This window comes from Homo sapiens, chromosome 1 (assembly GCF_000001405.40).
Source record: "Homo sapiens chromosome 1, GRCh38.p14 Primary Assembly".
Taxonomy (NCBI): domain Eukaryota; kingdom Metazoa; phylum Chordata; class Mammalia; order Primates; family Hominidae; genus Homo; species Homo sapiens.
Genome location: NC_000001.11, coordinates 175,308,809 through 175,323,576, shown reverse-complemented (window position 1 = coordinate 175,323,576; position 14,768 = coordinate 175,308,809). Strand labels below are relative to the sequence as shown.

Genomic DNA, 14,768 nt, shown 5'->3' with positions numbered 1-14,768 from the left:
CCCACATTGTGGATTCCCTGTTCCCATAATTACCCCTTTTTTGAAGTGGGGCGTTCCATGGTGGGGGATGACCTGACATGCTTATCTTTCTCACGCCCAGGGCATCAACTGGTACCATTGGAAAGGCCATGAGTTCTCCATCCCCTTTGTGGAAATGAAGATGCGCCCCTACAACCACCGTCTCATGGCAGGGAGAAAACGGCAGTCCTTACAGTTCTGAGCAGTGGGCGGCTGCAAGCCAACCAATATTTTCTGTCATTTGTTTGTATTTTATAATATGAAACAAGGGGGGAGGGTAATAGCAATGTGTTTTGCAACATATTAAGAGTATGTGAAGGAAGCAGGGATGTCGCAGGAATCCGCTGGCTAACATCTGCTCTTGGTTTCTGCTGCCCTGGAGCCTGACCCTCAGTCTCCATTCTCCCTCCTACCCAGGCCTCCTCAACCTTCACCTCCTTTCCCACCAAGGAGGAGAAGTAGGAAGTTTTCTTAAAGGGCCAATTCAAAGCCAAGTCGTGGGGTGCAGATTGTTATGGTGACAGGCACACACATTTTTCTACCCTTCTTCTGAGATGTCCTCTGCCTTCCAGGTATTTGTGATTTTGTCACAGCCTGACATGGCCAGGTTCTCACACTGGCCCAGAGAAAAGAGCCTCAGCAAGAGAGTTTTGCCAACAATTCCCCTTAAAAGGAAACAGATCAACTACACCGCATCCCAACAACCCAGGTTCTTTTCCTTCCTTCCTTCCTTCCTCCCTTCCTTCTTTCCTGCCTTCCCTCCTTCCCTCCTTTCTTTCTTGACAGTATCTCACTCTTGCTCAGTCTGGAGTGCAGTGGTGCAATCTCAGCTCACTACAGCCTCGACTTCCTGAGCTTAAGTGATCCTCTCGTCTCAGCCTCTTGAGTAGCTGGGACTACAGGCATGAGCCACCATACCTGGCTGATTTTTCTTTTATTTTTTGTAGAGATGGGGGTCTCACTGTGTTGTCCAGGCTGGTCACAAACTCCTGGCCTTGAACAATCCTCCCACCTCAGCCTCCCAAAATGCTGGGATTACAGGCTACAGCCACTGCATCCAGCCCCAAGTCCTTTATAATGGGCCAAAGATTCTCATCTTCTGACACTCTTATTATACCAGCCACATGTCCTGTTACCTTTCAAGAACAGTGGCTCTTTTCTGGCCCTGATGGAGTCTTTTGCCTAATCCCATCCTGTCTTAGACCCCAGAGCCTCAAAAGCCCAACCAGCATTTTGGAATCTAGTTCCCAAGGCATTGCCTGCTCCTGGCCCTGGGTGGCACAGTGGCTATGTGCCTGTGAGTCATCAGCCACTGCCCCCACCCTCAGGTCAGACAGACAGTCACTTTCTGCAAAGGTAGGAGGGGGAGATGGTTGTAGTTTTTAGCACTTTTGGGTCAAGCATTGAGGAAAGGACTGAAGAAGTCAAAATCAGGGCACTGCCATAGAGATTATAGTTTCCATGGGAAACACAGATCTTCCCTAGCCCTGTTTTCTCCATTTCTGGTCCTATTTGTCACAGATTCTTTTTTTCTGAATTGCAAACCGAAGGCCTCATATCTATCTTCACCCAAGCCCTCCTTAGTGTAGGTGGCTTAATAAGAGTCAGGAGAAGAAGGTATATGCCCAGAGAGCTATACCCCTGACTGATAATCCTGGAAAGAGGTTGATTTTTTTTTTCTTTTTTGGTCCTATGGGAAACAGGAATGACCTTCTTAATGAGGTGAGATCATGAGAAGCCTTTCCATCTTCTTTTATTATTCTGCCTTGCAAAGGAAAAATGACAATAGCCAAAGGAAATTACATCCAGAAATCCAAAGGTGAATAGGTGATAACTGTGGGCCTACTTCCCATTTTATGAGATGCACTGTCTTCACTAGCACAATTTGATCTTAAGCCCAAGAGAGCTAGATGCTCTAGAAGCCGTGACCTTTCAATTTCTCCTCCAAATCCAATATCAGCAACCATCCCCGCAACATCTGCCCAGATCCATGCCCAGTTCCCTGAGCTGTCTTCTCCCTTTCCTCTCCCATTCCTCAAGGCCCAGCACCATTTTCTGTAGTGCCTATGTTTGTCTGACCAGAGCAGTGTGTACCTTTGCCAACCAGTTACTGGATGAGCCTTAGTGTCGGCAATTTTCTAATGGAAATATCCTCACTCTTACCAAGCTTTGAGAACCAAGATGAAAAGTCCCTTGGGCTGACCATCAGGCCTCGGACCTCATGGGGATGCAGCCAGCCACCATTGAATGGAGGCGCTTCCCTTGCCGCAGGCTTCTAGGCTTTGTTCACTGCGGCAGTGTGGATGTGACAGGCATAACCCTGAAAAACCTAGGCACCACTTGCATTTCTCAGTTAACCATGGGCTTCAACAAACTGGGAGGAGGAAAAAACAGAAACAGATCCTTTCAACAAGCATGTAAATTACAGAAGACTTACCTAGAGACGGGGCAACAATGAATAGTAGGAAGCACATTGCATGGGAAACTTGAGGGCCGAGGTACAGGCCAACAGCTGTCATCTTAGCTACGACATGACATCGGCTGGGTTGTTTCACCTCTCTGGGCCAGTTTCTTCATCTGTCAGATGAGAGATTAGACTAGAATGAGTTCTAATTTCCCTTTCAGTTTTGACGGTCAATGATGCTAATCTGTGATCTGAAAACCTAAGTAGAAATTGGCATGGTGGGACAGCACAATTAGGTAATGAAAATTCACTAGACTCCCTGTTTAATGAGGAAAGAAGGAAAGAAGGAAGGAAGGAAGGAAGGAAAGAAGGAAGGGGAGGGAGGGAGGGAAAGAAAAGAGAGAGATTGATTCAGGAGTCATAAGTAAAACACACACACACACACACACACACACACGAAAATACTGCAGAAAAGATCATGCCGAGTGAGAGGCTGAACTCTTTTTGTCCATAAAAACAGAGACCAGGTACCTGGGTGGTGCCAGCACGCCCACTTCATCAAGGAAGTTGAAATGGAAAAAGATTATGTGTTGTCAATTCAGGTGAAAGTCAAGAAACATCAGTGGAAACAAAAATCTTCCTTTTATTGAAACCATTCTACACTATGGAACATTTTTATAAATAGTACCAGCGGCATTGCATAGCTTTATTTTGAAGCAAGAAAGAGACTTCAAAGATCAGCTTATTCAACCCTCTATAAAAGGATTTATAGATTCCTTTTATTTAATAGGGTGATTTTCTCATGAGTTTTCACCATGTTTAAAAGACACTGTGCCCCACTCTCATCCCAAGGTCTATGGTCAACTTGACTCAATGCTCATAACTTTCCTCGCTGATTCCTGCTTATCCTGCTCCTCCAAGCACAACTGCATTTCCCAAAGGTAGATCCAGTAAGCAATACTCTCAAAGCACCCACCCTATGCACACCAGTTTCCCTCAAGGGACTCAAAAGGAATCGAGGTAGACCCTTCTCAGAGGCTGTTTAACTACAGACACATCAGGATATGTACTAATACCCAAAACCAAAACCACCACCAATGACTGCAATAGATTCACTGTCTAGACCCAAGGTCCAGGCAGTTTCCCTTTTTTGCATTTCCCCAACATATAAAGATAATTTCCAACATATCAGATGCACATTCACCAGGGTTATTTCTGGAAGGTGAAGGGGTCAGGTGTAGAAGAGGTGGCAAGAATGACAAGTCTGTGGAAAACTGTTGGCCTTGAGACCACAGTGAACTGGTGGAAGGGGACTTGCTAAGTGTGGCCACAAGGTGGCAGTCACCTCCTGAAACCCCGTGTGAAACGTCAGCGGGGTTGAGAAAGGCCACGTCTCCAAGTTTCCAGGAGAGCCAAACCAGGACTCAGGAAAACCGGCCAGCTGATTTGTATGGGAGATTGATTTGTAAAAGAACAACAACAACATATGGCAGCAAGGAAATGCAAAGCAAACATCTACAAATATTTGAATCCACCTGTCCCTCACCTACCAACTTCCCCCTCTACTACTCATAAAGTGGTAGGACTCCTAATGCCCCGCTTCCTTCCACCTGAGAACCAACCAGCACCCTGATATTTCAAAGCCAGACCTAAAGAACCATGGTTGCCAATAACCTCAATGCCAAACCAAACAATCCTAATCACATTTTTACTTTTCAAATCCAGTCTCAGAGCAGAGCTGTAGATTAAGGGACAAAAAGTCATTGTGGAATCTTTTCAAATAGCTCTTGTAAAAGCATCAGTTGGGAAAGAGTTTATGAGTTCCTCTTTGTCCTCTCCTCTGGAGAAAAGACAGAACATGCAAGAACACTAGATACACCAAGCTATGGGTGTTGAAATAGACTAGCTGGTGACCTGGATTTGCAAATACCCTAGGGACATGAAAACATTTTTTCTTTTTCTTTTTCTTTTTTGTAACCTCCACCCAGAATTTCAGGAAAGGTGGGGCCACATGCCCAGGATATATGGTATTCTACTGCTTGCTTTCTTATCACCAGAATACTAGTCAATCTGATTTCTTAGTTCCATGTCTTTTCTTCCAAGGAGGTAGGGCATGGGGTTGGGGGACACTTTCCGCCTTCCTTGCATCTCACTGTCCACTCTTAAATTTTTATTAAGAAACCTCTGAAAGATTCAAAATTCAGTTCAGTTTCAATAATCCCAAAGAAGTTGGGATAATTTGTTTTCACTTGCTTCAAACTTGCCACGGCTGCAGGAGGAGTCTCAGGACCTCAGAGGAATGGGGCAGATGTGTGAAGTCTGGGAGTCTGCCTCCCACCCAGATGCCAGGAGCTGCATACTCAGCTCTGCCTCACTTCCCTGATGGTCTGCTTTCATCCAGGTTACCATGACAGAGAGGGTCTATCCTCTAAAGAAAGCTGAGTTACAGGCTGGCCCCTGGGGTTGTTCCTGTAGCCTCTCTTTGACCACATTCCTGAAGATGTTTAGCTGAATGCCTCCTCAAACCTTTGCTTCTTCCATAACCCAATCCTACACATATGTGATAAAGCTTTCTTCAACAATACTGGGTCATTTGGACACTACCAGTCCAGATGAGAACTCACAGACCAAATGAAAACTTTCAAAAGCAAGCAGGGAAAGTAACTCCTATATGCTTTAAGATGATGTATTGGTGTAGATTCAGGTCCAATTTGAAAAAATGTCTCTGGTTCTTTCTAATTGTATCCACTCTGGATTTGTTTATGCCAGTTCTACATTCATCAAGCCTTGAGAAACAGGTGGAAAGAAGAAAAATATAAAATTAAGAAGAAGCTGATGGATCATTGGAGATTCAAAACAAGCCTTCTACCGGTGGCACCACACTGAAAGGCAGAGACAAGGCAGGAGCGGCCATGGGAGAGGAAGCAGCATTGGCTTCTCACGTTCTGGCCTCCAGCCTCCCACCAGAGCTTCTGCCATTCACCCACTTAACTTGAGGAGAAACTAAGGCACCAAGGCCTGTCACTGCACCGAAAACCAGAAGCAGAAGGACTTTCTTTCTTTGCTCAACCAGTTCTGCCTGGATCTGACTTTTGCGTCACCAGTAGTCACAAGCCTGATTTGTCATCTCCAGCATTCTGTTTATTTTTTTAAGGTCAATCTTTGCCTGAAACATGACTTCATTGCACCTGCAGCACTTCATTGTCCAAATGTCCTTGGCAAACCTCACAGTCTTTGGACAGTGTTGCATTTTCTCCAAAGGGGAAATCCTCTCTCCTTCCTCAAGCTTAATAAGGCTCTTGCAGTGCATCCAAATAACACAGCTCTTGTTCCTCAGACACACTCAGCCCCCTCTGATAACTTCATAAAACAGCTCCTTATTGTCTGGGCCATGAAGCCAGGCTAATGCTAAAGTTCCAGTTCAAAAACATTTAACTCTATTATCCTTATGAGGCCAGCTCTCCTGGGTACTGGCACTCACTCACTGGCACCATGGATTCAGGTCAGGTGGTGCAAACATCTTCCCTGAGAAGCAAGCCATACACCCAACAGGTCTAGAACACCTAGGTCACAAGAAAGGGTTTCAGTCCAGATGCACTGTCAGTAAGTGAACACAAGGACAAGAATGCATGAACTGTTATTTTCTTCCCATCACTGGTTTAGCAGCCCCTAGGGAGACCCTGTGTTGCTCTTTAATATTCTGACATGGAGCACTAATATGCTCAACACTGCCTCCAACAGGCAAATGTTGGAAATACACTTTCAGAGCTGGATGGGACTCAAGATCATCTAATATAATCCTCTCATTTTATTTCCTCTCAAGGAAACCAAGGGCAAGAAAGTTTAGGCAATTTGCTCACATTCACACAGGCAATTAGTAACAGAGCTGAGTTCGGGTCTGGTATAGGCTTTTTAATTTGATTCTCCACAAATGAACACTAAGATAAATAGCATTTATTGCATACCCACTATTTACCAGATACTGTGCAAAGGGCTTTACATATATTACTTTACTAAATCCTCACCATAAACTTTAAGTCAGGTTTAACCATTTTATAGAAGAGGGAAGGGAGGGCCAGGAAGGTTAAGTAACATGCTCAAAGTCACACAGCTACTAAATAGAGCCATAATCTGAACCTTTGTCTAATTTTGAAGCCCTTGATTTTTCCACTTCATGAGGCTGCTCTTTATATTTATTTAGCTGAGTGACCACCATCTTGGATTTTACTAATATTCTTACAAGGGGGCTTTGATGCCACTTCTTCTGACTTTTAAGAAAAGGAAATTCTTGCATTATTTTTGCCATGTACTCCAGGGGACCCTCAATCTCATCATCATGGGGAATAAGAAACATTCTGACATCTCTTTCCTTTTCTTTCTTTTTAAATTTGGTAGACGAGGGAGAGGGTCCCCAACAGAATGAGAGGGGGAAGATAAGAACCAGAACATAAACCCAATACCCCCCACCCCACTCTTTTGGGAACATCCCAACATTAGAAGAGTGGGATATCCAGTCATTTTTTTCAAGCTGGAGCAGGCAGTGTAGCCAGGATTGAGGAAGGAGAAGCCACAGAATAAACATGGCACATGTTCTCAGAGCATCAATTTTACTCCAGAATTTGGGAAGAAAGGATTATATTATTAGTGTATTCAAACCAGTATGGATAGCACAAATGCAGATATCCTATAAATTTTGAGGCTAACTCCAGCAGGTTGTAGACTGATTTAGGCTACCTCCTTCCAGACTCCCAGGGGTACAAACACCTTCACAGTCCCCTGCGGGAGTACATCAGTGGAAATATTTGGGGAATGAGGCTAGAAGGCAGGAGATACATTCAGTTTACTTATCCCCCTGGTTTCTTTTCCCCACTCCTTACCTGCCCCACATCCCTAGTGGGTGGGAAGGCATCAGAAGACAGTTGGCTACAATATCAGCTTTCTCTGCTACTTTGGGGAATTTAGAAGGAAATCAGTACTTGGCAACCTGGTATTTTTAGCTGCCAGGCCAAAACTCCAGACATAAACCCCTTCCCTTTAATTGAATGATGTTTATATATAAAGGAATAGATCTCCCCAAGAAAGAACCCCAGAACACTGGTTCCATTCCAGTGTGGGGGCTGCTTGGGCAGCAGTGACACCTGTGCATTAGATGCAATAGACACTTCAATTCCTGCAAAAATGTCGGCCAACTAAGTGCTCCTTTACCAACTGCGGAGGCCCAGACTCACACCATGGTCCCACAGACTCAAGGTTTAGAATCTATGTGAGTCTATTTTGGTTAACACACAGGCTCCTCCTTCCAATCATTCACACACACACACACACACACACACACACACACATGCACACACACACATGCATGCACACATACACAGGTGCACATGCACAAACACACACATCTAATGATTCCAACCTCGAATACTCCCCAGGCCCATGGGGATGCCCAAGTACCCTAAGCAAATCACTGTGACACTGAGGGGGTCATTAACTGGGGCTCCGAGCAGCTGAAACCCACCCTGGTGGTCTCTAGATTGTTGTTCTGAGAAATCATAAACACCAAATCCTCCAATCCCTTTGAATTTGAGTTTGTCATTTTAACCTTTAACAGCCTTTTCAGGTAAAAATAACAAAGACCAATTTATTGACTTTGTAGCTACAATGAGCTTGAAAAAGCGCTTACTTAAAAGAAAGACTGGAAGGAAGAAAAAAAAAAGAAAATGGAGTACATACTCCTCAGACGATGCACACTTTAATTAGCTAAAATAAAAATAAAAATGTACAGAGGAAGGGAGAGGAAAAACCAACTTCTCTGATCCTTTCATGGCACTGTAGCTCAAAGACTGGAATCTCTGCTTGTTAACCATTGTTAACTAGTATTTTTAGTCCTGGTTGCTTTTAGCCTCTGTATAGTTCCTTTTTTAAACACATTTTCTATACGTTAATAAAAGATCCTGAAAGAAAGATGCGTGTCTTCTGAGTCCTAGGGGCACTGGGGGGCATGCCTGTCTTAAGAATGGGCCTGGCTTCTTTTCTCTGGGCCTCCCCTCCTTAACATTTCAGTCCTGCTTCTGCCAGCCCATCTTCTCCGCATCACCCTTTGGGTGGACTGTTCTCCCCCATGGCCCTGCTCCCCCTTCTATGCCCCTTGTCCGCCCTGTTTCTGTGCTTTCATTATATCCTAAATATCTCAGCCCCCTTCCTCATTCTTCCCTCCTTCTTCTCTCCTCTTTTCTACTCTCCTGCTTCTCTCCTCTCTTCTACTCTCCTGCTTCTCTCCTCTCTTTGCATCTTTCTCTCTCTCTTTGCATCTTTCTCTCTCTCTTCCTTTCTCTTTCTTCCCTACCTTCCACCCACTTTGAGGAATCGTAAACACCAAATCCTCCAAACCCTCTGAATTTTATTTTGTCATTTTAACCTTTAACAGCCTTTTCAGGTAAAAACACCAATTTCATCTCACCCTTTGCTTTTACCATCAGAAAAGGTCACCAACGGGTGGTGGTCTCTGCTGCCCTAGCATTACCAGACAGGCCTTTTGTACAGTTTTGAGTCCTTGATCAGCCACAGAGACGGTGACTCACTGCCTACCTCCTTCCAGTCTCGTCTCCTGGCTCCCTCAACCCTGAAGTGCCCAGGGGTGGTCTGATCCCCAAGGCTCTAGTGCCATCTGTGGGTACTGCCAGAGAACATTTGACAGGCCCGGTGTGCTGAGCCAGCCTGCCCTCCACTCCGTCAGCTCCTCCACTGCCAGGTTCTGTTGCTCTGCCTGGGAGCAGCTCCAGCTAATGCACCATTAGCCACTGCCTCTCAGCTTTGGTCACTTGGAAAAACCTTTTCCCTTTCTGTCCCTTAAAAATGGACCCAGTGCATAATATAAGATCAACTCTCACCACTGGGTTACATTAAGTAAGACCCCAGTCAGGGAACAGCCCCAAAAAGAGAGTCGTGATGGGAGCTTCTTCCAGTCCAGTTCCAGGAGCACAGGCAGTCAGGAAGTGCAGAGATAACTGAGTAACGGTGTAGGGTAAGCACCGCAAACCCAGACATGCTCTCCCATGCTGGAGTGGGCAGGGGGATATTAGGAGCCTGTCTGGGGGAGGTAGTATGACAACAGAAATTATCCAAGGGAAAAAAAAGAGGTGGGAGGGAGCCTCATGAACCAGGGTCGGGGGCATGAAACGGCAGAGCCTGCTGGAACGGGGCCAGGTGTGGTTTAGTACTCATGTTTGCTTGAAGTTCAATAACAGAGCCAGGAACAGACTGGGCATTGTGAAGACCCAAGACCACAAAGGAGAGACCTTTCTCCATCTTCCATGTTAAAAGGGAGAAATAATGAGTGCTTTAAAGAAGGAACAGAATCCCAACCCTGGAAATAAATTTTTAAAAAGGCTTGACACCAGCAGGCTTCTTCACACCCCTGGGGCCATGTGTAAAACAGGGACAAAACTCCAGCCACATGGCCATCTACCATAGAAGGCACCCTCGCAAACAGAGCAGGCAAAGCACCTTTCCTAGCCCTTGCCCTGTGCCGCATTTCCTCTTTTTCTCCTCATTTCCTAAAAAAAAAAAAAATTCTGGAATGTCAGACCAAGGTGGCCCTTTAAAAACAGCCACATTTCCTGGTCCTGTTTTAAATAAGCCATTCTGGAAACCTATAGCTCAGGATTATGGGACTGGAGGAGTGACTGCTGTAATATTGAGATAAAAACCTGTCATTTGTCCTGTACGTTGTCTTGAAAATGAAAATGGAAACTAATGTGATACAGTGAAACTTAAAGGAACTTTAGTAATTAGTATTTATTCCTGAGGTTGCTGAATGCTAGCATTATGTTCTAACTTAAATGGGTATAATTCACCCATTGCTTAAGACCTCTGGGTGCATTTACAACCAACTGAACACAAATTTAATTATTGTTGTGTTATGGGAACGAAGAACTGCCAGGGGTAATATTAAAAGTGGATTATTAAGCAAGAGAAATGTTAGCAACATTAGTAATCAGTGCAATTACCCAGTAGCATCTTCTTGCCCGTAATACCCCCAGTGTCCCTGGGGATGTGTGCTTTAGCAGTGACCCCTTTGCCAGTCAGCAATAAGACATCACCACAAATTAGGGCCCTCTGGGCCTGTATCTTTCCACTCATGTGACATGTACAATATTCCCCATTGCCCAGTCTTTCAAATAATTATAAAAAGAGTATGCGTTGGACTTGTAAAGCTACACATAAACGAGTCTCTTGTTCCTCTTCACTCATCTCACCATCCACATTCAATAGTTACCTACTATATACCAGATCCAATACTGATTCTGGATATACAAAAAGATGAAAGGCCTGCACACCCTCTGCTTCTCCCAGAAGAGATTTGGTCTCTCTCTGTCTCTCTCTTTTTCACAGTTAAAAAAAATTCTTTTATTTAAACTTTAATACCAGTATGTATCAGTCAGGATTCTCCAGAGAAACAGAACCAATAGGGGATTTACATTATGTTTGCGTGTGTGTGTGTGTGTGTGTGTGTGTGTGTGTGTGTGTGTGTGTGAGAGAGAGAGAGAGAGAGAGAGAGAGACTTATGAGGAAATGACTTATGTGATTATGGAGACTAAGAAGTCCCACAGTCTGCTGTCTGCAAGCCACAGACTCAAGACACCTGGTCGTACAATTCAGTCCAATTCCAAAGGCCTGAGAATTAGAAAAGCCACTGTTGTAAATCCCACTCAAATCATTAAAGAAGGACAACATTTCAGCTTAATAGGTGGGCAGAAAGAAAACAAAAGGCAAATTCCTCTATCCTCAGCCTTTTTGTTCTATTCAGGTCCTCAATGGATTGGACGATGCCCACTCACATTAGGCAGAGCAATCTACTTTACTCAGTGCTCCAATTCAAATGCCAATCTCATCCAAAAACACCTTTGCAGACACACCCAGAAATAATGTTTAATCGGGGCACCCTGTGGTGCAGTCAAGTTGACACATAAAATAAACCATCACACAGTTGCAAGGCAGTAAACAAACCAGATGTGGTTCCTTTCCCAGAGACGTTCCTGCTGGTGGGGAAGTCATTCTCTAGAAAGAGATTCAGCAATCCATGGCCCGACGGCCAGACATTTATTCTCTTTTTGACTCTTTCCTTTTCCACCAGTTTTTACCAAACTCCCTACTCTCTTATTCAGATATTTCACACATATGTAAGGCTCCTTGCTTCAAAGTTTTTAAAATAGAATAAAGTAAAATTTCCAAACTTATGTTTATGTGTTCATGAGAAAATGGAAAGAGATACACAGTGAAAAAACTCAGTTAATTAGATGAGCGTTGTCATTTCAACACTGACAATATTTTTTTAAAACTCAGACACATTTCAAACACTTCTAACACTAAGAAAAGTGGCAATTAAGGAGGCTCTTGAATCCAAAAAGTTGACAGAACCTTCTAAAAAGAAACTGATTACTGTAGAATTTTCCCCGGGGGCAGGGGCCAGGGGCCAGTGGAAGGTATGGATCAACTTTTAGATGTTGATGCCCTTTAATGCTTTAAATAAAAATTGCTATCATCAGAGATCACTGCTAGGCATTCATTCACAGCTGTGCTCTTCATGACAAACAACAAGCTCTTCAGAGGTTTCTGGCAAATATGTGTAAATTATAAGAAATGCAGTAGCAATTATGAAAATTCAGTATGCTAGCTGTACAGGAAATTTAAAGATCCAAGATAAACAATGAAAACTGAGGAACGCATATATTATGCCTGCATGCCGGTAATACCTGGCTTGATTTGTGAGCCCACTCACTGTTTATGATTTCTCCCCCCACAAATAAAAACCACAAAGTAATAACCAAAGCTTGTATTTACAACCAAAGCTACACTGAAACGATTGGCAACAACAATAACAACCTGGGTTGCAATTAAAGGTAACCCAGTTGATTTATTGACTTGGAAAAGCAAGAGATGATTAAAGAAGTCAATGTGGAACGGCCTGCCCTCCTATCCTCCCCAACCCCCAACCAGTACCATTTAAAGAAATTGAGACATATTCACATAAATCTGGTTTTATCTTTCAACGAAATGACCTAATGTTAACTCGGTTTGAAATGTCCACGCTACAAAGCAGTGTTTCAATACAGCAGTACTATTGACATTTTGGTCAGATAATTCTTTGTTTTAGGGACCTGCCCTGTGCTTTTACCCACTAAATTCCAGTAGGACCCCCGCCTCCCACCATGTTGTAACAACCAAAAATGTCTCCAGACATTGCCAAATGTCCTCTGGGGGAAAAAAAATCACCCTCAGTTGAGAGCCACTGTTACAGGGAGATTTATCACAGAAAGAAGAGATAACTTCAATCCAGACTTCATGGAAGCAAATTTCAAAAAGCTTCAGGCTGGTTCATTTCAGCCCAAAAGACAAAAGGATCGCCCAAATGGAACATTGTTATAGCTTTTCTATTGAATTTGTCTTTATATAGTTTATAAATGTTTGAAAAGCTTATATCTGTGTTTTATTTTAGTTTCATTTTGTCGGAATTACTCTGGGTATTTTTGTGGTATGAGATTAGATTCCAAGGTAGAAAGTGGAATTGATAAAATGACACTTACAGAAAATGAGAGTTTGTCTTACAATGGTTCAGTTTGTCATGGCTCCCTAGGAATCATTTAGATTTCAAACCAAGAGTCACTTGTAAATTAGACCTTTGGCTCTGTTGCTTCACCTGATGGACAATAATAAATGGTATCGATTGTTTAAGATCCCCAAATACCTCACAATCTCATATGTCCTAAAGGTTTCTTAAGAAGAAAGAAATACAGGGTAATTAGGCACTAAAGATAGAAGGAAGAGAAGATTTTGTGCCACAATTCTACCTAAGAATGATATTCAGGTCCAGGATTGCAGTCAACAGAGCAAGGAAGGGCAGTATCACCACCCAAGCTCCCCAGGAGAATGTGAATATCTAAGTCGCATGCCTAAGGGAGTGTTCCATGATGTTAGGGAAAGCAAAGGGCTAACCAGCTGTAGTCTCAGCTTGTGGCAGAGGAAAACACCCTCAGCTAAACCCCTTTACCCAATTCATCCTCCCAGATAAGAAATCCAGTACACAGAAAGGAAGCGACTAGGGGCAGGGGAGGGTGGGGGCAGATGTTCACCTCTAGCTTTTTCAGAGATGTTTCAATGCTGATTTTTCTTTCCAATTGTCCTGGCCATGACTGTTGGGCTACATGGTCCAGTTTTGTTTTAAACAAATGTAGTCACCACAGTAGGTCTCTGTAATGGCATGTTAGTTGTGAAGGTCACCTGGGATCGGGTCAACATGTGAATGTGACTGGCATCAATGGTCCTCACATCTACTTCTCTTGGCCAGACAGACAGATCAGTTCAGTCTCTCAAGAAACGCTGATAAAGTCCCTTCCTGCAAGGGTGGACCTTACCACAGAGCTCACAGCAAAGAAGGACAATTCGAAGTTCACCTCTTGGTGCTAAAGGAGGTATGCTGCTCTCCGTCATGATCCTGTTTATCACAGGGTCTTCTTTCAGATCGAGAGCCAGTGAAGCATCCCCAAACAGGTCTCTCCTATTAGAGCCTGGCTGCAACCCACTACCAGATTTGCAGAACCATTTATTTCTCTTCCAAGACAAAAACACCCTGAGGAGGAAAGACCTCCAGCTTGGCGGAGTAAAGGGTTTATTTTCTTTCCAAAGGGCTGGAGAGGATTGGGAAGCAATTGGGAAAGCACCGGTGAGAAGAGAATTCCCATCATCTGTGAACTCTTTAAGGGAAGAGCCTTGGCTTTCCATTTCTATTTCCAGTATTTAGCCCAGAACTCTCTTTGGACTCAGTATAGAATTGATGTAAACTGAATTGAATCAACCGTATCTTCCGTCTATGAAAGAAACTCAATTAACAGCTTTTAGTACTGTAAAATTTAGGACAGATCCATAAAATATTCAAGAAGAGCAAATATTAAGATTATCTGAGGAGCAGAGGAAAGAACATTGTATTTGACGTCAAAAGACCTATATAGTTGCATAAGTTTGTTCTCACACTGCTATGAGGAAATACCTGAGACTGGGTAATTTATAAAGGAAACAGGTTTAATTGACTCAGTTCCGCATTGCTAGGGAGGCCTCAGGAAACTTACGATCATGATGGAAGGCAAAGGAGAAGCAAGCACCTTCTTCACAGGGCGGAAGGACAGAGTGAGTGAAAGCAAAGGAAATGCTAGACATAAAACCATCCGATCTTGTGAGAACTCACTCACTATCACAAAAACAGCATGAGGGAGACTCCCCCGTGATCCAATTACCTCCACCTGGTTCTGCCCTTTACACGTGGGGATGATGAGGATTACAATTCAAGGTAAGA

At 43.7% G+C, this 14,768-nt stretch overlaps 1 protein-coding gene and 1 long non-coding RNA gene across 4 annotated transcripts in view; one reads left to right on the top strand and one right to left on the bottom strand.

Annotated features, from left to right (window-relative positions):
- The window catches only part of TNR (tenascin R), a 428,402-nt gene extending 420,019 nt beyond the window's left edge, over positions 1–8,383 (top strand). For both annotated transcript variants that reach the window (NM_001328635.2, NM_003285.3), the window contains exon 23: positions 101–8,383. In NM_001328635.2, the coding sequence (NP_001315564.1) occupies positions 101–220 (120 nt within the window). In that variant the 3' untranslated portion in view covers positions 221–8,383. The remainder of the gene's footprint in view (positions 1–100) is intronic.
- The window catches only part of LOC105371623 (uncharacterized), a 48,000-nt gene that overhangs the window by 11,933 nt on the left and 21,299 nt on the right, over positions 1–14,768 (bottom strand). For both annotated transcript variants that reach the window (XR_001738299.2, XR_001738302.2), the window contains exon 2: positions 2,456–2,595. This is a non-coding gene — a long non-coding RNA (uncharacterized LOC105371623). The remainder of the gene's footprint in view (positions 1–2,455; positions 2,596–14,768) is intronic.